The sequence below is a fragment of the Homo sapiens genome, chromosome 14 (assembly GCF_000001405.40).
Source record: "Homo sapiens chromosome 14, GRCh38.p14 Primary Assembly".
Lineage (NCBI taxonomy): Eukaryota > Metazoa > Chordata > Mammalia > Primates > Hominidae > Homo > Homo sapiens.
Window position 1 is genome coordinate 95593825 of NC_000014.9, and position 21034 is coordinate 95614858.

At 46.5% G+C, this 21034-nt stretch overlaps 3 annotated features.

Moving 5' to 3' along the window:
* Positions 4088 to 4382: a silencer, noted in NCBI's record as "tiled region #452; K562 Repressive non-DNase unmatched - State 24:Quies". NCBI's record gives its function as "represses a minimal TATA promoter and a strong SV40 promoter by Sharpr-MPRA in K562 cells {active_cell/tissue: K562}" and the evidence as "EXISTENCE:reporter gene assay evidence [ECO:0000049][PMID:27701403]".
* Positions 4181 to 4230: an enhancer, noted in NCBI's record as "active region_8965". NCBI's record gives its function as "activates an Ori minimal core promoter by ATAC-STARR-seq in GM12878 lymphoblastoid cells {active_cell/tissue: GM12878}" and the evidence as "EXISTENCE:reporter gene assay evidence [ECO:0000049][PMID:35858748]".
* Positions 20585 to 20654: an enhancer, noted in NCBI's record as "active region_8966". NCBI's record gives its function as "activates an Ori minimal core promoter by ATAC-STARR-seq in GM12878 lymphoblastoid cells {active_cell/tissue: GM12878}" and the evidence as "EXISTENCE:reporter gene assay evidence [ECO:0000049][PMID:35858748]".

Genomic DNA, 21034 nt, shown 5'->3' on the forward strand with positions numbered 1-21034 from the left:
CCCCTTCAGCCAGGGTCTCACTTCTCTGCTGCCCTCATAATAGCACTTCTGGGTGGCCTATAGTTGCCACGTCCACCTGCAGGGTTCCTATCTTAGCCAATTCCCATCTGTCTCCAGTCACCACCATTCCTCTGAGCCTGCACTAGACAAGGGCAGCAGTGATCCCTGAGTTGCCAAAGCCAGTCATCATTTCTCTCTCTTCATGATGTTCATGCCTTAACAGCATTGGGCCCACATGTGCACACCCTTGATTCTGGAATTTCTTTCTCTCCTCAGCTTCTACACTTTCCTGGCTCATCCCCTCACTGTTGGATCCTTTCGCCCACCTTGGATGGCTTCTCCTTTGCTGCTTGACTCCCAGTGGGGGAGTCCCTTGGTGCTGGGTCCCGGTTCCCTTGGTGACACTCTCCTGTTGAGTCCATCTCATCCATGGCATTATATCCCCACCATGCACCAAGAGTCCCTCAGTCTCTATCCCTTGCTCTGCCCCCTCTTTGGAACTGTAGACATGTACACTCAACAGAATAAGTGACAGCTGCACCTGGGAACCTAACAATACTCAAATTCCACAAGTGCCTGACAGAACGTTCCATTCCAGCTGCCACCTTGAGACCAGCTCCTTCTTCATCCTTCCCTCTGGAACCATGAAGCCCCCAAACCTAGGACTTTGCCTTGATTTCTCCCTTTCCCTCACCCACCTCTCACATCCAAGACCTTATCAACTCTTGCCTTCAAAATGTATCCCCAAGCAACCAGCTTCTCTCATTTCCTTCCTCAGCTCTGTGTCCAAGCCTTTATCTGGTCTCACTGAATGGCTGCAGATGCCTCCTCACTGCTCTGCCTGCCTCCACGCTTGCTCTATCCTCCCATCTCCACCTAGCATCTAGAGTGATCTTCTAAAAATGTAACTTAGATCATGTCCCCTGCCCCCATTACACACTGATATGGTTTGGCTGTGTCCCCACCCAAATCTCATCTTGAATTATAGTTCCCATAATCCTCACATGTCATGGGAGGAACCAGGTGGGAGCTAAGTTAATCATAGGGGTGGTTTCCTCCATGCTGTTCTTGGGATAGTGAGGGAGTTCTCATGAGATCTGCTGGTTTTATAAGGGGCTTTCCCCCCTTTACTCGGCTCTTCTCTCTTCCTCCATCATGTGAAGATCATGTTTGCTTCCGCTTCTGCCATGATTGTGTTTCTGAGGCCTCCCCAGCCATGCGGAACTGTGAGTCCATTAAACCTCTTTTCTTTATATTCAGTCTTGGGTATTTCTTCATAGCAGTGTAAGAACTAATACACACCACTTCCAGTGGTTTCTCACCATTTGTCCAGCCTGTTCCCCGGTGTATGAAGGCCTTTGTCGTCCCAGCCTGGCTTACCTCGGTGCCCTTGTCACACGCTCCTCCTCGCCCACCTCCTGGGGCTGAGCCTCATGACAGTCTTCCTTTTCTTCCTCCAGCCTGTTGTGCTCTTTCCTGCCTCTGGGCCTTGGCTAATCTGTTCTCTTGCCTGGATTGCCTACACGGCCTGCTCCTTCCCCTCGGTTTATCATCATGTCACCACACTTTGATTCTCTGCATTCTCTGAATAATTATTATCACTATCTGATATTTTTTCTGGCTTGTTTGCTTGCTTGTTCGTACACCTGTCTGTCTGCACTAGAATACAGTTTCCAGGGGGATGCAGAGCCTGCCAGTTTGGTCACAACTAAATTCCCAGCATCTTGGATGACACCTAGCCTGTAGTGGGTGTTCAGTACCCATATGTTAGATGAGTAAATGAATAGCACACTGGATGCCCTCGCAGACTCATCTCTGGATGTCTCTGTGGTGCTGCCTGCAAATGCAGCCATAATCTTACGCCCAGTCCTTGAGTCTGTTTCCACCACATTGATTCTGGGCATGGCCAAAGGGACATAGAAAATGCAACTTGATAAGTTGTAGCTGTGTTGTTCCTTGAGATCACCAGAAGAATGCGCTGAGCTAGCCTTGAATGGATGAAAGGCCAAGTGGGAGAGAACCGTGGTGAACAGCCAGGCAGACACGTGAGTTGGGTTTTCTGTGTTCGTCTGGGTCTTCCAAAAACCAGAATTAAGTGTGTGCAAGGATTGTATTAGGGGAAATGCTTGTGTGAGAGAAAATGGAGCAGAGGCAGGGAAAGGCTGGGTGAGCTGTCAGACAGCCATGCAAGTCTGGCCCTTTAAGGAGGAGAGACAGAATGTTGGGAAGAATTGTTCTAGACTGCTGCACAAACTAAGGAAGGCTTGGCAAAGCCATCGGGGAGTCCCCAAGCTGAAGCTGGCTGTCAGAGGTGTCCCGTGTCTCTCAGGGAGAGGGTTTGCCTTAGTGTCCATGCTGTGGGGGGGCCTTGGTAAGGGAGTGGCCCACGGGCAACAAGGCCTCAGTGGAACATGTTGGTGGATTTCAGGGCACGGCAGCTGGGTCCCTGGTGAGTTAAACTCCATGTCGTAGAGGTCTGTGAGGCTCTTTCTCCTGGCTGCCTCACTATTCTCGGTCATGCAGTCACCATCCGAGCCTTCAGCTGATTACAGATGCGTAAGAAAGATTAGTCAAGCCACCAAGACCAGAGGAACTGCCCAGCCAATTCAGAGAATTGTGAGATAAGTGTAGTGCTTAGGCCCTTAAGTTCTGGGATGGTGTATTTCATAGCACAGGCTAAATGATAAACCTCTTTGATAATTTCCTAAGGATAGACTCCAGGAAAGAGGGGAAGGATTTCTGCATATTTAGAAAACACTGAATACATACTGCCAGTCACTTTTTAGAAAGGCTGTATCCACATATCTCTACTGGCAATATATGAGAATGTTCATTTCACTACATCCTCACCCATACTGGGTTTTAGCATTCTAAAACATTTTTGCCAGCTTGCTATGTGAAAACACATAAGCATTGCTGAGGCTCAATTTGCATTTATTTGACTATTGCAGAGCTGAATCCTGTTTTCATATTTGTAAGAATTAAGGAGGAAAGAAACACGAAAGGTGGCTTGCCAGTTAAGAAAGTTTTATTTTAGAGAAAACAAACTTGAGAGGAGCCTTTGGCCAAGTTAGGTTAGAGGCCCACTTTTTTACAGACTAAGATTTATTTATTTTATTTTTTTTGAGATAGAGTCTCACTCTGTCACCCAGGCTGGAGTGCAGTGATGTGATCTCGACTCACTGCAACCTCTGCCTCCTGGGTTCATGCCCTTCTCCTGCCTCAGCCTCCCGACTGGCTGGGACTACAGGCACATGCCACCACGCCCGGCTAATTTTTTTTTTATTTTATTTTTAGTAGAGATGGGGTTTCACCATGTTAGCCAGGATGGTCTCGATCTCCTGACCTCGTGATCTGCCTGCCTCGGCCTCCCAAAGTGCTGGGATTACAGGCGTGTGCCACCGCGCCTGACCCAGACTAAGAGTTTTTAAGGATTTAGGATGGGAGGGTTTATTAGAGGCTTGGACAGCTTCTGTGTTTTTTGGTTGTGCTTATTTGGGAGGGAGAGTTGTGTGTCTGTTTCTATACATTTTTTTTTTTTTTGGCAGCTTCAGGCATACCCCACCCCACCGAGTTTGCTTTTAGCTTCCCTATTTTAATGCACCTGAAGGGAAAGGAATGTGCTTATTAAGTAAGGCCCACTGTTTTACTGGGGCCCATTGTATGAGGGTGAAGTGTTGTAGTTACCCTGGAGACTTTCTCCCCACCTTCCTTCGTGCCCTGGCTGTTTTATTTGTGTTTTACTGTCTGCTCTTTCTGGCTGCTTGTAGTTAGAAGAGAAATGATTTCCTTGAAATGCATGAGGCTAGAAAGGGAGCTGGAACTTAACGTGGTGGTGTTTGTCCGAGATGAAGGTGCTCCTGCTCTGTCAATGTTTATTGGCCATTGGTGAGGTGTTTCTTCTTACCCTTTTAAAACCAAAGTTAGAGGAGTAATCCCTGTCTCCTGTGGCCCTCCTCAGGGGAGCCGCAGCCTCCAGGGGCTGCTCCTGGTGCTGTCAGCGTTCAAAGCAGTCGCTTCACTTCTGCCGCAATTATCAGCCGATTATCTCCCCAATGCCCGCGCTCAGCGCTTCCCTGGTTAACCCGGTGGCTGGAGGGCTGCCTAACGACATTTTTATAGCCTGGTGCGGCTCTGCTTCATTAATTCCCAGCAACGGCTGTGCGTTATTCTCTCTGCCGACAGTGGGGACTCCCTGCTAATCAGGCAGGAGCCGGCAAAGCGGTGAGGTGGCTGCAGCTGGAGGGCAAGCTGGTGAGGTCAGGGGATCACGTGGTTCTCCATCACTGCGTGGTCGGAGGAACCAAAGCTCAGGGAGGGAAAGACACAGTCTGGTGCAGAGCTGCCAGGAGCCACATGTGGTGAGTGAGCACCAGAAACGTGGCCAATCTGAAGTGAGATATGCTGTAAGTGGAAAATGCACACTGAATTTCAAAGATCTTAGTACAAAAAAAAGAGTGTATGGCATCTTATTCATATTTTAAAAATATTACATGTTAGAAGATAATATTTTAGATATATTGGGTGAAACACAATATATTATTAAAATAAATCTCACCTATTTCTCTTTCCTTTTTTAATGCGGGTACTAGAAAAACTTAAATGATGTGTAGTGTGTATTTTAATTGGATGGTGCTGGTATAAGTCCTCATAGGGCATTAGGGGCAGTGAGATGAGAGTATGCATATATGTGTGTGACTGTCTGAGTATGTGTATGTGTGTACATGCATGTATGTGTTAGTATGTACGCATGAGCATATGTGTATGTGTCAGTATAAATACGTGAATGTGTATGTGTGTATATCCATATGTGTGTATGGGTATACATGTACATGTGTGAGTATATGTGTGTGTGCACATGCTTGTCTGTGTGTAAGTGTCTCTGTGTGTATATGTGGGGTATGTGAATATATGTGTGTATGTATGCTTGTGTGTATGTGTGCCTTTGTGTATATGTGGAGGGTGTGAGTATATGTGCACGTGTGTGTATGTGTGCATCTCTGTGTGCATATATGTGGTGTGTGTGTATCTGTGTGTGAATGTGTGTGTGTGTGTGTGTGTGTGTATGTTTGTGGGGTGTGTTTATGGATGTGGGGGGCAGGGAGGTTGACTTGTGCAAAGTCAAAGTCGGAAACCAGATCAAAGCCCAGGACATTTTCATTTCACTGCCTTATGCTGTGGTCTCTATTATATGCCAGGCATGCCACATACACATCTCATTGAATCTGCAAGAAACCCAGTGCTCTCTTAAGTACCATGCTGCCTCACAAGGTCAAGGGCACTAAGTAACTCATCAAGGTCACACACTAAAAAGTGATGGGAATGGGAAGCGATGAAGCTCCAAGCCACTGTCTCTCTCCTGCAGACAGACCCAGGGCCTGTGTTGCAAACCATCTCAGTGACTCCACCATGCCAGCCCTCATGCTGAGGCCGGGAGAGCAGTAGAAGCTGGAAGGAATGATCTAAAAGTGAATTTCCATGTTGCTGTGACCTTGGTACCAGGCCAGGGCACAATCAACCACCATCGATGCACATTCTCTCCTCATAGTCATACCACCTCAGGGGCCAGAACGTGCAGTTGGTCCCAAACCACAAGGAATCAAGGAAATCTCAAAGTTATTGTTGTCTGTTCTTTCAACATATATGTAGAAACAAATACTTGCATGTTAAATAAAAAAATCCAGGGTATATGTGGCTTGGATGCTGGCTCTGCCTCTGACCTAAGTCTTGGTCTCCCCATGTGTATAGTGGGGCTGTAACACCCACCTGTGTGGGCAGTAAATGAAGAAATGTATGTAGAACGCTGGGCACAGCCTAGATGTTCACCATGTGTCACTTCCTATCCCTGTCCTCCCTAGTCTATCTTTGCTTAAAGTTTCCCAACTGCTTGGATTTTATTAATTCTCACTTAGATGATTTCCTCGACAAGTCTAGGTGGGTGACAAGCCAATGCAGTTTCTTAGAATAATAATTTATCTACAGCAACTCCTCTTTAGCAGTCCTGCATTAAGCTCTTTATGTGTGTTATCTTGTGGGGCCGTCACAACAATGCAGTGCATGTGTGCATGTGTGTACCTGTGTGCACATATGTATGTGCATGTCCATGTGTGCATATGGCAGGATGGGTTGGGGAGAGTGACTTGCACCAGTCAGTGACACAGGTGAAAGCCCAGCATGTTCTAGTTTCTCCACTTTATACTCTGAGCACCTTGAATCGAGATCAGTAGAATTTTAGAAGGAGCTGTCAAAGGATCTTGGAGAATGTATTACTCCGTTTTCACACTGCTATAAAGAACTGCCTGAGACTGGGTAATTTATAAGGGGAAGAGGTTTAATTGACTCACAGTTCTGCATGGCTGGGGAGGCCTCAGGAAACTTACAATCATGGCAGAAGGTGAAGGGCAAGCAAGGCACGTTTTACATGGTGGCAGGGAAGAGAGAGCAAACTGCCCCCATGATCCAATCACCTTCCACCAGGTCCTTCCTTTGACACGTGGGGGTTACAATTTGAGATGAGATTTGGGTAGGGACACAGAACCAAACCATATCACAGATCATCTAGAAATAAGTTGAGGATGGAAACTATAAAACAGCATGTTGCAGTTTCAAAGAATTTGAGTCTCTTGTCCTAAATGAATATTATCCTGACAGCTGAAGGAAATTGCCAGTGATGCTGCTACTGCTGAAATGTATTTGAGAAAAGAGGAGTCCTTGAAGACTTGGGATAGTGTGCACTTTTTGAAAAAGAAAAAAAAAGGATATTTCTCCAATTATAGACCCGTCAGCTTGATTTTCATCCCTAGGAAGTTCTAGTATATATCACGAAGCACGTTGAAGAAGAAGTAGTGAAGTCAAGGACAGAAAATGAGAATAAGAATTTGTGTCTGACTAGCTTCATTTCCTTCCTCCATGGAGTTTCTGCACGGGAATCATGCTGTATACTCCTTTGTGTTTCTACTATATTTGTTAGCTATTGGTGTGTAACAAATTATCCTAAAATTTAGTGACTTAAAAATAAACACTTATTATCACTGACAGTTTCTGTGAGTCAGAAATTTTAAAGTGCTTGGCAATGTCTCATGAAGTTACAGTCAAAATTGTGGCTGGGGCTGTGGTTTTCTGAAGGCTTGACGGGGGCTGGAGCATCCTCTTCCAAATTGGCAAAATTGCTCAAATGACTGGCAAGTTGGCACTGAATATTGGTGAAAAATCTCAGTCTCTCTTTATGTGGGCTTCAGGATGCTTGAGTGTTCTCACAACATGGCAGGTGCCTTCCCCCAGAGCAGAGAGAGACACAGAGACAGACAGACAGAGAGAACATTGCAGAAGCCATCCTTTTTATTGCCTAGACTTAAAGGTCCTAAGACATTATTTCTTCCACATTTTGCTCAGTAGAAGTGAGTCACTAAGTCCAGACTGCATGCAAGAGGAGGACAATAGGCTACACCTTTTGAAAGGAGAAATATCAAATAATTTGTGGACATATTTTAAAACCACCCCACTGTCTGGTAATTTAAGAATACTAATATACATTCTGCATATTTACCCACAAACATTTATTGCACATTCACTCATTCAGTGTGTTGTTTTGAGCACCTAGTACATGCCAGCGACTGTTTTGATCCCATGGAGTTAACAGATTAGTGAAGCAATAAACAATGCCATGAAAACTAGAGCTAGAGAGATGCATGTGTGCATGTGTGTGTGGGTCGGGGGGAGGTGAACTTAGACAGGGTGGTCAGGAGGCTGTCCGAGGAGGTGGCATTTCAACTGAGACCGGGAGGATGAGAAGGAGTGAGTCAAGGGCAGAGTGGGAAGCAGAGCATTCCTGGCAGAGGAAACGATGCAAAGTCACCAAGGCAGAAATGAGGGAACAGAAACGCAGTTGGGGTTGGGAGAGATGTGGCCAGAGAGGGGGAGAACAAGATCACTCCGGCCTCCTGGGTTGGGGTAAGCAGCTGAGTTTCCTTCCAAGTGTGATGGGAGGGAGAGAAACAGCAGGGAGGCTTTTATCCTCAACAGCAGTATGAGTTGATTTGTGTGTTAACAAGACCACTCTGGCTGCTGGGACATGGATGATAAGGGCCAGAGAGGAGGCAGGGCATGCAGTGAGCAGGCCACAACAGAGGTCTAGGGAATGGAGATGGCCACTTGAACAACAGTAGGAGCTGTGGAGACAAAGAGAAAAAGGTGGTTTAGGGATGATTCTGGAGATGGAATTAGCAAGATTTGCTAAGTGAGTCCACGTGACAGGTGTGGCAGAGAGAAGAGAGGAAGTAAGCACAGCTCTTCTAGCTTTGACTTAAATAATTGGGTAGGTGATGGTGCCACTTAGCAATATGGAAAAGATTTGGGAAAGAGCTGGTTTTGTGTGTGTGTGTGTGTGCGTGTGTGTGCACACATGTTGGGACTGAGGACTCAAGTGATCAGTTTGAGAAGCCTGTTGGACACCCCAGTGGAGATGCCGAGTCAGGGCTGGCGATGTTCATTTGGAGTCATTGGCATGTAATGGGCCTATATCTGCCTACTCTAAAATGCAGGCAGTGGAGTAGTAGGAAAATCAGCTGCTAGGGCATAAAAGCTAAGAGGAGAATGCATTTTACAAGGAAGAGTCAACCATGTGGCCCCAGCAGAGAGGTAGAGGAAGATGAGAACAGATATGCCCATTTGATTGGGTGACATAAAGGCCAAAAGTGCTCACATGAGAGCAGTCTCAGGGGAGTGGAGGACAGAGGATTGATTGGGGTGAGCCAGAAAGAGAATGTGACAAGAGGAAGGAGAAGCAGGGGCCATAGAAACTCATTCGAGAGGCCAGGCACAGTGGCTTATGCCTGTAATCCCAGCACTTTGGGAGGCTGAGGCGGGTGGATCATCTCAGGTCAGGAGTTTGAGACCAGTCTGGCCAACATGGTGAAACCCTGTCTCTACTAAAAATACAAAGATTAGCTGGGCGTGGTGGTGGGCACCTGTAATCCCAGCTACTCGGGAGGCTGAGGCAGGCGAACCGCTTGAACCCAGGAGGCAGGAGAACCTCTTGAACCCGGGAGGCAGAGGTTGCAGTGAGTCGAGATCATGCCATTGCACTCCAGCCTGGGCAACAAGAGTGAAACTCTATCTCAAAAAACAAAACAAAACAACAACAAAAAAAAACAAACAAAACACACACACACACAAAAGGCAAACAAAACAAAACAAAACAAAACCTCATTCAAGAAGGTTTCTCATGGAGGGAAGCAAAGATGAGTTGGGAGCTACAGGGACATGATGAGCCAAGGGAGATGGCTTTGTTTGTTGGTTTTAAGATAGAAGATACCAGAACTCTGTGACTGTGTGTGTATGTGTGTGTGTGTGTGTGTGTGTGTGTGTGTGTGTGTGCTGATTGGAAAGACCTGGTAGAAAGAGGGAAAAAATGAAGGTTTAGGGAAGAGAGGGAATAATTGCAGGAGAGAAGTCTGAGAGGGGCTTCAGGGACAAGGGAAAGTGATGGTCCTGGTTCTGTGACACATCTATGGCAACAAGAACAAAGGTGGGAGAAACAGGCACCGACTTGTATAGGATGACAATCTTTAAAAGGAGAAGGTGAGGAAGTCCCTGTCTGGGAGTGGGCAGGGGCAGGTTGAGTTGAGGGGAGAAGGTGGGCAATCCCTTTGAGTAGTGGCTGTAAGCTCCCAGTGAGTTGGTTGGATTGCCAGGCTCCATTTGAGATTGGTGGCTATGAGTTTAAAGTGAAGTCAGTTTTTCCCCAGCTGTGTTCAGCTGCTCAGATGCAGGTGAGGGATCGGTGAGTGGTTGGATTCACAGAGTGGTGAGAAAATTGAGGCTATATGTAAAGGAGTAAGGGTAATGATTGATTACAGAATCTAAGTGGGCTAAGTAGAAAAGTTGTAGTGGTTTAAAAAAATGTCCAGGCTGGGTGCCTTGGCTCACACCTATAATCACAGCACTTTGGGAGGCAGAGGCGGGAGGATGGCTTGAGTGCAGGAGTTTGAGACCAGCTTGGGCAACATAGTGAGACCCCGTCTCTGTCTTTTAAAAAAAAAGTCCGTAAGTTTTTTGATATTCCTCTTCTGAAGAGTGGAGCCTTGTTCCCCTCTCCCTGAGCGTTAACTGGATTTAGTGACTTGATCCTAACAGATAGAAAAAATGAACTGCAACAACAATGGATGTGAATCTGTGCCACTTCAGAGACTTGGTTAGAGAAGGCAATGTAGCTTTCTCCTTGCTCTTGCTCTTGGATCACTCACCCAGAAAGCTGCCATGTCGTGAGGATGTGCAGGCAGCCCCATGGAGAGCCCATGTGGCAAAAGACTAAGAGGACTTCTGCCAACAGTGAGTGAGGAACCGAGGCCTCCTACCAGAAGCCATGTGAGGGAGCCATCTTGGAAGTGGGTCCTGCAGCCCCAGTTGAGCCTTCAGATGACAGCAGCCTCAGCTGACAGCCTGACACAACCTCCTGGGAGGCTCTGAGCCAGAGATGCCTGGCTATGCCAACCTTGGGTACCAGACTCTCAGAAACTGTGAGGCCATAAATGCTGGCTGTTTTAACCTGGTAAGTTTGAAACACTCGTTACTCAGTATTGAGAACTAATGCAGCAGTTAGTTCTTTTATCTTTCACTATCATGTAGTAAAAAGTGGAAGGGTTCATGGATCAGAGCCTCTGGGAGGTCGGGGTCCTTCAGAAAGCATCAGGAAGGAGAAGAGGTGGAAGTCAGAGAGGGAGAGGCCTGCAGTGGAGTGGTCCAGGTGCTACAGTGAGGGTACAGCAGAGTTCAACAGCTCTCAGTGTGAACTCCAGCCCTGCCCCATGTGTAGCTGTGCCACGTGGCCCAGGCACTTGACCTTCTGGAGTTCAGGTTGCTTATCTCACAAGAAGACAATGTTGCTGTAGGTGGCATTAACCAGCCACTGGGGGAATCCAGTTCCCTCCCCACACCCCCCATTTCACCACCATGGAGCAGTTTCCGTGCAGGTAAGGAGGACACACAGGAGCCTGCATGGCAGGGAGCAGAGGCGGGACGTCGGCAGGACTTGTGGACCCATTGTGAGCATCTACTCTTTCCTGACCTGCTCCATTGGTGGACTCGCTCATTTATGCAGATGTTTTTTGGTTTTTGGGCTCTCTTGGCCATTGTTTTTTTCTTTTTAAAGACAGGGTCTTGCTCTGTTGCCCAGGCTGGAGTGCAGTGGCATGATAAGGCTCATTGCAGCCTCACCTCCTGGGCTCAAATGGTCCACCCCCCTACCTTAGCCTTCCCCCTGCCCCTTTTTTTCTCCCTTTCACTGATGTGGCCAAAGGGTCCTGGGACAAAACCCATACATATTGTACACCAGACACACTACACATTAGGCATACCACATGCACAACATACATGCCACACACACACACTACACAGTAGACACATCACACACACAATTCCACACACACCACACACAGTGTTAATATGGAAGGAAGGCAAGGCCTGCTGGTGGAGGTGGGGACAAGCATGTGCGCCTGTCCCTTGCGGAGAGCAGGAATCCTTCCGACTCACACCCTTCGCCTAGTTCAGCCCTCAGGCCAAGAAGCCATGGACCTGAGGCCAGTGCCCGACAGCCATTGTAGAGCAATCTGGCCTGGTCTTATCCTCCTGCTTGTGCCTCCCTGTGTCTCTGTGTGTGTGGAGGGGCAGGCCAAGGATCTGGGGACTCAGGATCCAGGCCAGAATGCTTCCCCCCGCCACAGCTAACAGGACCTGCTCGGAGTGAGGGTTGAATGAGATCACAGGTCTAAGCGCTGAGCTGGTGCCTTTTTTTCCTTCCTCCTTAGATAACTCCTGGGGTAGGGAGATTAGTTCCTTCCCATTTTCCTCTTATTCTTGCCCTGTGCAAGCCAGAGGGTGGGCAGGAAGACTCTGCAGCTGGCACCTAATATTAGGAAGAGCCAAGAGAGGACCCACTGAGGCACATTGCCGACTGGAGTGCATGCTTGTCTCCTGCTCCTCACTTCACCGTCCTGTGACTCAGATTGGGTTAGCAAAATGTAGTGGCATCTTTTGGCACAAACGCCGTGGAGCAATGTTGCATGATGACATGTACCACACAGCTTGATGGTTTCACCTCCATCAGAAACACCCCAGAGTGGCCGGGCATGTGGCTCATGCCTGTAATCCCAGCACTTTGTGTGGCCAAGGTGAGTGGATCACCTGAGGTCGGGAGTTTGAGACCAGCCTGGCCAACACGGAGAAATCCCATCTCTACTTAAATTACAAAAATTAGCTGGGCATTGTGGCACGCACCTGTAATCCCAGCTACTCAGGAGTCTGGGGCAAGAGAATCGCTTGAACCCAGGAAGCAGAGGTTGCAGTGAGCTGAAATCGCACCACTGCACTCCAGCCTGGGCAACAAAGCGAGACTCCATCTCAAAAAACAAACAAACAAAAAAAAACAACAAAAAAGAAACACCCCAGAGCTATTGTGGTAACAGAGGCTGCCCAAAAGCCCAGGAAAATTTCAGTGTAGAAAACAGAGCTTTGGAGGCCTAAGAAGGCAGTAAAAATGGAGACTCTTCTTGTAGATGCATTTATTAAAAGGGAATAACTACTAGAGAAGGCAAAGTCATGTAGATGAGGGGTGGAGGGATTTTCAGGAAGCCTCTCTATGACCATCTGCTGGTCCATCCGCACAGCTAAAGCTCAGCCTCTATTTACAAAGACAAGACGATGCATACAGAATGGAAGATTATTTTGACAAACTTACTCTGAAACACAGCCTATTCCCACCCTTAGAAAGTGACTGTACTAGCCTCAGGAGTCACTGCTACACTAAGCTCACTCTCTGGGCCAGCACCATGCCAGGCCTCCTACACTCATGATCTCAAATCCACTCAAAGCCCTACAAGGTCAGGAGTCAGCTGCCCACTTGACTGAGGATCATAAAAGTGAAGCGCTTGTCTTGGGCCATTTGGTGGATCCAAGATCTGAGCTCAAATCTGAACCAGGGTTGGGATACAGCTTGCCACTGTCTGGCACCTGCTGTCTACACTCACTCTCTCACCCCGCTCTATTCTGTGCCAGTCTTTTTCATAGAGCCTAAAAGTCAGATGTGTGTTTGTCTTCACTCTGTACGTCCCACATCAGCATATCTCTCACAGTGACACTAGCCGCATTACAGATGAATTTCCAAATCTTAGTAGCTTGGCAAAATTAAAATTTAGTCCTAATCTACAAAATGCCAGACAGGGATTTTTGACCAACTGGTATCTCTTCTCCATGCACTGTTTTGGGACCCTGGATCCTTCCTTCTTATGTGTGGCTTGCCAACTCTAACCCCCGGTTCCAGGGCAAAGGGGGAGTTCATGCAGGACCATCGATGGGAGAGTTTATGGACCACATTTCAGAACGTGGTCACACCTAACGCAAGGCGTCTGGGAGACGTAGGCTAGCTGTGTGCCAGAAGGAGAAGAAAACGGGTTTGGAGAGTGGGAAGCCTGGCCTGCCACGCCAGCCTGGGCCCCAGCAGTAACTTTTTGAGCTGTGCTATATGGATGTTTATCTCCTCTCTGTCCCAGGGTGCTGAGTGGTGACCAAATTCTTTCAAAAATTTGGGCCAAAAGAAAAGGAAGGGTATATGAGAGTGGATGGTAGAGTTGGGTGGGTTTCAAGCCTTCTAGCTCAACAAGTTACTGTCCCAGGTCCCTAGGACAGTTTCCCCGACACACCCACATGAATGCTCATGAGGCTGTGAGCTCCTAGGAGATGGGCCATGTCCTCTTCATTGCTGTACCCCAAGGTCTAGTTCAGGGACTGGATGCTCAGTAAATGTGTTAAATGAAGAACTGAAGTCAGAATGTTATGTGACAAACCAATCAGGTGTGAACTTGACAATGCACTTCCCAATCACAGGGAGGCTTGAACCCTCTGGAGGCTGCATCCGTAGAGGATTTACAGTGCCTGTCACTCATGCTAGGAGGAGAAAGGTAGAAACAGATCTGGGACCAATTCATAGTATGGGTCAGACTCTGTTGCTTCCATTCACTGAATCCCAATTTGGAGTTCAAAAGTCATATTTCATTAAGATCAGCAAAAGTTCTCTTCCCAAGCCCTGTGAGGAAATTGGAAAATGCCGTTGGTTCTGAGAACTTCAGAAGGGGTGCTGTGAGGTTTTAAGGAAGGGTTCTGGAAGTCCATGGATTTTGTTCTGCTAGAGTAGGAGACAGCAAACTATGGACTAACAAATAAGTCTAGCCTGCCACCTGTTTTTGTATAGTGTCCCAGCTTGCAATGGTTTCTACATTTAAAAAACATTGTGTGGGCCTGGCGCGGTGGCTCATGCCTGTAATCCCAGCACTTTGGGAGGCCGAGGCAGGTGGATCACGAGGTCAGGAGTTCCAGATCAGCCTGGCCAATATGGTGAAACCCCATCTCTACTAAAAATACAAAAATTAGCCGGGTGTGGTGGCATGTGCCTGTAGTCCCAGCTACTTGAGAGGCTGAGGCAGAAGAATCGCTTGAATCCGGGAAGTGGAGGTTGCAGTGAGCCGAGATCACGCCACGTCACTCCAGCCTGGGCGACAGAGCGAGACTCTGTCTCAAAAGAAAAAAAAACCGTGGTAAAGTATAGATAACATAAAATGTACTACCTTAACTGTTTTTAAGTATACAGTTCAGTAGTGATAAGTATATTCACATTGTTGTAAGACTAATCTCTAGAACTTTTTTATTTTGCAAAACTTAAACTCTATACCCATGAAACAACTCCCTATCTTCCCCTCCCCGAAGCCCTGGCCATCACCATTCTTCCTGTGTCTATGAATTTGACTACTCCAAGTACCTCATGTAAGTAGAATCATACAGTATTTGTCTTTTTTTGTGACTAACTTATATCACTTAGCATAATATCCTCAAGGTTCATTCACATGGTGTAGCAAATGTCAGACTTTTGTCCCTTTTTAAGGCTGAATAGCACTGTATGTACATAGCACACTCTGTTGATCCACTCATCCATTGATGGACATCTGGGTCGCTTCCACCTCTTGGCTACTGTGAATAGTGCAGCTAAGAACATGGGTCGACAAAGATCTCTTTGAGATCTGGTTTGCAATTCTTTGGGGTATATATTCAGAAGTAGAATTGCTGAATCTATGGTAATTCTATTTGGAATTTTTTGAGGAACTGCCAAACTGTTTTCCATAGCAGCTGCACCATTTCACATCCCCACCAACAGCGCATAAGGGTTCCAGTTTCTCCATATCCTTGTCCATATGCGTTACTTTGTGTTTTGACAGTTGCCATTCCAATAGGGGTGAGATGACATCTCATCGTGGCTTTAGTTTTGATGTCTCTCATGATGAGAGGGGCTGATCATCTTTTTCATGTGCTTGTTTGCCATTTGTATATCTCTTTGGAGAAACGTCTCTTCAAGTCCTTAGCCCATTTTTAAATTGAGTTATTTGTTTTTTGTTGTTGTTTCTGAATTTTTTACATTTTAAATGTCTAAAAAAACAACAAAAGAAGAAGAATGTTTTGTGACTTGTGAAAATTATGTGCAATTCAAATTTTAATGTCCGTAAATAAAGTTTTATTGGGACACAGCCACACTCATTTGTTTCTATTTTGTCTGTGGCTGCCTCCGTGTTGCAACGTAGAGTAGTTGCAACAGGGACCGTATATTCTGCAAAGTCCAATATCGCACTACTTCATCTTTTACAGAAAAAGTTTGCTACCCCTATGCTAGATTCTAAGAGGTTTAGAAAAAGCCTGCAAGGACCAAAGGGCCTCTTGGAGACAGTTGGGGGCAGCAGAGAGCTGATCTGGTAAAGATTCCATATGGGTCCTGCCGCCCAGAATCCCAAGGTGTCTGGGCTCCAGATCTCACTGAGGGCACCAGGGCTGCTTGGCATGGAAGGGTTTGTGGAAACCAACCTTGTGAGGCTGAGCTGGGAGAGAGAAAAATCCTGCCAGTCCTCCCTGCCTACTTCTCTGGATTCCAGTCTCTTCTCCCTGTAGATGCCAGACTGGTCTTCCTAACACACGAATCTGACCCCGTCACTTCCCTACTTAATGCTCTCCACTAGCTGTCTCTGCTGTTCTTAGAGATCAAGTCCAAGCTCCTTCAGTCTGGTTCCCAAGGTCCTGTCTCTCTCTCTCTGCTTTTATCTCTTGGCTCCATCCATCTGGGATGGCTCAGAACCTCCTGCTCCACCAGTATAAACACCATGCTCCCAGATATTCCATGGTGTTCTCTGGTCTATAGGCCTCGGATGACTTGCTCTCACTCTTACCTTTCTGCCCTCCATGTCTTACCCAGATAACTTCCCCTATCCTTCAAGGCTTAGCCCAGGTTCCACTTCTTCCAGGAAGCCTTCCTTCACCTCCTACTTTACCCAGAACACAGCGAGGTACCCCTCTTCTGGCTCCTTTAATTCTCAGTGTTTATCCTCTCCTAGTACTGCAAACATCGCCATGGTTCCTGAGGGCAGGACCAGGATCTAGTTATCTAGTTATCTACTTACGAGTGAATGAATGAATGAATGGATGAATGAATGAATGAATGAAGAAACAAATTAAACATAAAATCCCATCAAGAAACAAGTGAGAGGCTGGGCATGGTGGCTAATGCCTGTAATCCCAACACTTTGAGAGGCCACGGTGGAAGGATGGCTAGAGGCCAGGAGTTTGAGACCAATCTGCATAACATAGGAAGACCTCATCTTTACAAAACATTTTTTAAAAAAGCACACATACACACACACAAACAATTAGCCAGGTATGGTGTTGTGTGCCCACAGTCTCAGCTACTCAGGAGGCTGAGATGGTAAGATGGCTTGAGCCTGGAAGGTTAAGGCTACAGTAAGCCATGATCGTGTCACTGAACTCTATCTACCCTGGGTGACAGAGCAAGACCTTGTCAAGAAAGAAAGAAAGAGAGAGAGAGAGAGAGAAAGAAGAAAGAAAGAAAGAAAGAGAGAGAGAGAGAGAGAGAGAAAGAAAGAAAGAAAGAAAGAAAGAAAGAAAGAAAGAAAGAAAGAAAGAAAGAAAGAGAAAGAAAGAAAGAAAGAAAGGAAAGGAGAAAGAGAAAGGAGTGATATCATTTCAGGTCAAAAGATGCTTTAGTAGTGTCTAGGGGACATTTTCCAGGTGAGGTTGAGACCAAGGAAAGAATGGTTGCTGTACGATTTTATCTGCATTGATGTCTGGCCCCTCCAGATTTGTAGAGTTGAATGGTTAAGAAGTGTTGCTTCTCCTGCTAGAAAACTTTATGCTACAAGGTTGACAGCTCAAGACCCTCCTTGCCCCTTTTTGCACATTTGGCACGTGAGATGGGCTGGTTTTCATGGGGACTTCAGTGGCCACACTCCACACAGCACTTTGGAGCTGAACAAGGTGGTGATGTTCTGTGGCAGTCCATGAATACCCATTCCCCTGCTTGGGAAACAGAATGAGCTGGTGGTTCCTTCTCTCCACCTTGTCTTCCTCCCTAGGCTTCAGTCCACCTGCCTGAAGTGGACCAGAACCTGAATGGGCATTGGACGACCTGAGTCTGGGGCTGAATCCTGCTGGGCAGTAGCTGTGTGACTTTGGAGCATCACTGGCCCTCTCTGAGCTTCCACTGCTTCCTCTGTGAAGTGAGAGTGAAGACTTCACCTCTTTCACCTCCTGGGGTTGCTGGAAGACCATGTGAAGATTGACCTATGAGTTCTTTCTGCCGTGTCAATGGTTCTTTCTACAGTCATGCAGGTGGCCATTGGGCAGGTCACCTGGGACACAGCCACCACATAAGTAAAGTTGCTTTATCTGCCATCCAGTGCCCATTTAAGGAGGAGCACTTTTTAAATCCCAGCCGGTCTCTCAGTTGTGAGTCTTCCCGAGTGCCACCCACACAACGCAGGTCAGAGCTGGCAAACTCATTTGAGAATTCGCAGGAGGAGTTACTCACTGTACAAAGACTTCTCTTGTCAGATGCAATTTGTAAATATTATTTACACGAGGAAGTTAATTAAGCCTTCCCCTGTTGATTCAGCCCTCCCCTTCCCCCTTGGCAGTGTGTGACTCTTTATAAACGGCATGTGACTTTTAGGACCAATTACTTTCAGGATTTTCCTTGCCTCTATTAATGGGATATGATCTGGGTTTGGTAGAAATCTTATAGTTCCTTTATTTTTTTGAGATAGAGTCTCACTCTGTCACCTAGGCTAGAGTGCAGTGGTGCGATCTAGGCTCACTGCAACCTCTGCCTCTCCAGTTCAAGCAATTCTCATGGCTCCGCCTCCCGAGTAGTGGGAATACAGGTATGCACCACGATGCCCGGCTAATTTTTGTATTTTTAGTACAGACGGGGTTTTGCCATGTTGGCCAGGCTAGTCTTGAACTCCTGACCTCAAGTGGTCTGCCTCCCTTGGCCTCCCAAAGTCCTGGGATTACAGGCGTGTGCCACCATGGCTGGCCTGAAATCTTATAGTTTCAAGTTCTTGCTGTTGAGCTATTTTACCTTAAACATAAATAAAGTGTAGTTATTTCTTGCTTCATTCATTTATTCAACAAATGGATGAAATGTACTCATTTCCTTCAAGTTTGTGCTTAAATCTCGCCTTCTCCATGAGATTTTCCTGGCCACCTGTTTACTGCTGCAGCCTGGTTTTCCCCCAACACTTCTAATCTCCCCTCTCCTCTTCCGCCTTTTTTCATAGCCCTTAACATCTTCTAACACACATAAAAAATGTGATTTGTTATGATTATTGTTTATTTTCTGCCTTCCCAGCTTGAAGTTAAATCCTGTGAGGATGGGGGTCTCTGACTACTTCATTCACATGTGTATCCAGATGCCTGGGACAGTGCCTGGCAAACAGGTATTCAATTAATATTTTTGAAAGAATTAATGAATGAATTCATGAATGAATGAGAAGCTACAAGCTTGTTGCAAAAGACCTGAGCATTCAAGCTAAGACAGAGAATGCAGTGATACTGGCCAATGGAAGGAAGAAGAAAGAAGGCCAGGCATGGTGCCTCACGCCTATAATCCCAGCACTTTGGGAGGCCGAGGCGGATGGATCACCTGAGGTCAGGAGTTCAAGAACAGCCTGGCCAACATGGCAAAACCCGTTTTAGTAGAAAACCAAGTTTCTACTAAAAAATACAAAAACTAGTCAGCGTGGTGTGTGTACCTGCAGTCCTGGGTACTTCAGAGACTGAGACGGAAGAATCATTTGAACCTGGGAGGTGGAGGTCGCAGTGAGCCAAGATCAAGCCATTGCACTCCAGCCTAGGTGAAAGAGTGAGACTCTGTCTCAAAAAAAAAAGATCTGTGTCATATAGTCTTCACAACGGCCCTACAAATTAAGTGATTTATTCTATTTTTACATGAGGAAATGTCTGCGCAGAGAGGTTAGGCCATTTGCTTCAGGTCACAGAGCTGGTAAGAGGTGAGTCCACATTGTAAACCCAGTGCTAACTCCAAAGCTCCCTGCACTGCAGCAGGAATGGGAGAGAGAACAAATATGCTGGGGCTGAAAAGAAGACTTCCTGTAGGAGATGATATTTGCGCCACTTCGAAGACAGGGTAGGTGTAGGATTTGTTATTTGTGATGAAGAGAAGGGTGACCTGCCAGCCCAGAGAGGTGGTCCATCAGGGAAAGAACCGTGGCCAGGGCCCAGGCCACTTGGGAAGCACCCTGGTAGTCAAGAAGGCTGGAAGGGCAAGAATGGGGTCAGCACCAGTTGGGACTGAGGTTCAAAGCTAACACTTCATTTCCAGTTTGCCAAACTAACACATATGCGACTGAAAGATGTGCCGTGCTCTGAAAAGTCCTTAAAATAGACAGATGTTAGCATTTCTCTCTTTCACATTTCCTCAAATGAGGCAAATCCAAGGTGTACCGAAACAAAATAGTACTACCTTTGACGCTTATGGGCCAAAGACATTATAAATAGCCCATTCAGCTAAAAGTCCAGCTGTTGCCAAAACATTTTTTTTAAGACCCTTGGTTCTAAGGAGCACCTACTACAAGCTAGACATTTTGCATCTATTACATGTATTTAAGTACCCTGAGGCCGGCAGCACAATGACCACTTAGGAAATGAGAAAATGAGGGAAGAAATGAGAAAATGAGGGCTCCAAGAGATTATGTTTTATGTCCAAAGTCACAGGGCTAGTGAGGATACAGATAAAATTCCCAAGAATATAGTCACTTGCCCTGATGCCTCTTTTGCCCTTGAAAAAGTGCATATCCCAGCTGTGGAAACACTGCTTCAGTGACCACCAACAGGGTGTTTCCCGTGAAGAACAATTCATTTCACATCACTGTGCCTCACCATTTTAAGGAAATGTCGACATGGTCCTCAGAGGCTCAACTTGATCTGTTTAGCTAGAAAGCTCCTGTGGAGTTAGCAGATGCAGGAAGCTGGGGATCTGTGCTCCTGTCAGCCTTCTCATTTGATGGTGACAGTGTAATCACCACACAGGTTCTTCCTGCCCACTGCACAGACAAAACCAATTCACTGAGACCATGGCATTGCAGTGAAGAAAGAGTTTAGTTGACATGAGGCCAGCCCATATGGGAGAATGGAAGTCGTTACTAAAATCAGTCTCCCCGAAGTCTCAGAGGTTACCCTTTTCAAGGATAGTATGGTGGGCCAGGGAATACAGAATGGGTGCTGCTTACTGGTTGGTAACGCATCATATGGATGTGGAAAATGGTCCTTGTGCACTGAGTCCGCCTCTGGGTGGGGTCATAAGACCAGGTGAGTCATGATCACAAGTCCAGCTGGAGTCATCTGGTCTTCAGACATGCAAAAGTCTGAAAAGACATCTCAGAAAGCCAATCTTAGGTTCTACAATAGTGATGTTATCTACAGGAGTAATCGGGGAAGTTACAAATCTTGTGACCACTGGAACCATGACTGGTTATTTAACTACACCTACATCTTAGCAGAATTCAGGCCACTCTCATTATCCTAACCTTGTAGCCTTACATTAGTTTTACAAAGCAGTTTAGTTTGGGGAAGGGCTATTATCCATCTTTGCTTACATCCTTCAACTATAAATAAATTCCTCCCAAAGTTA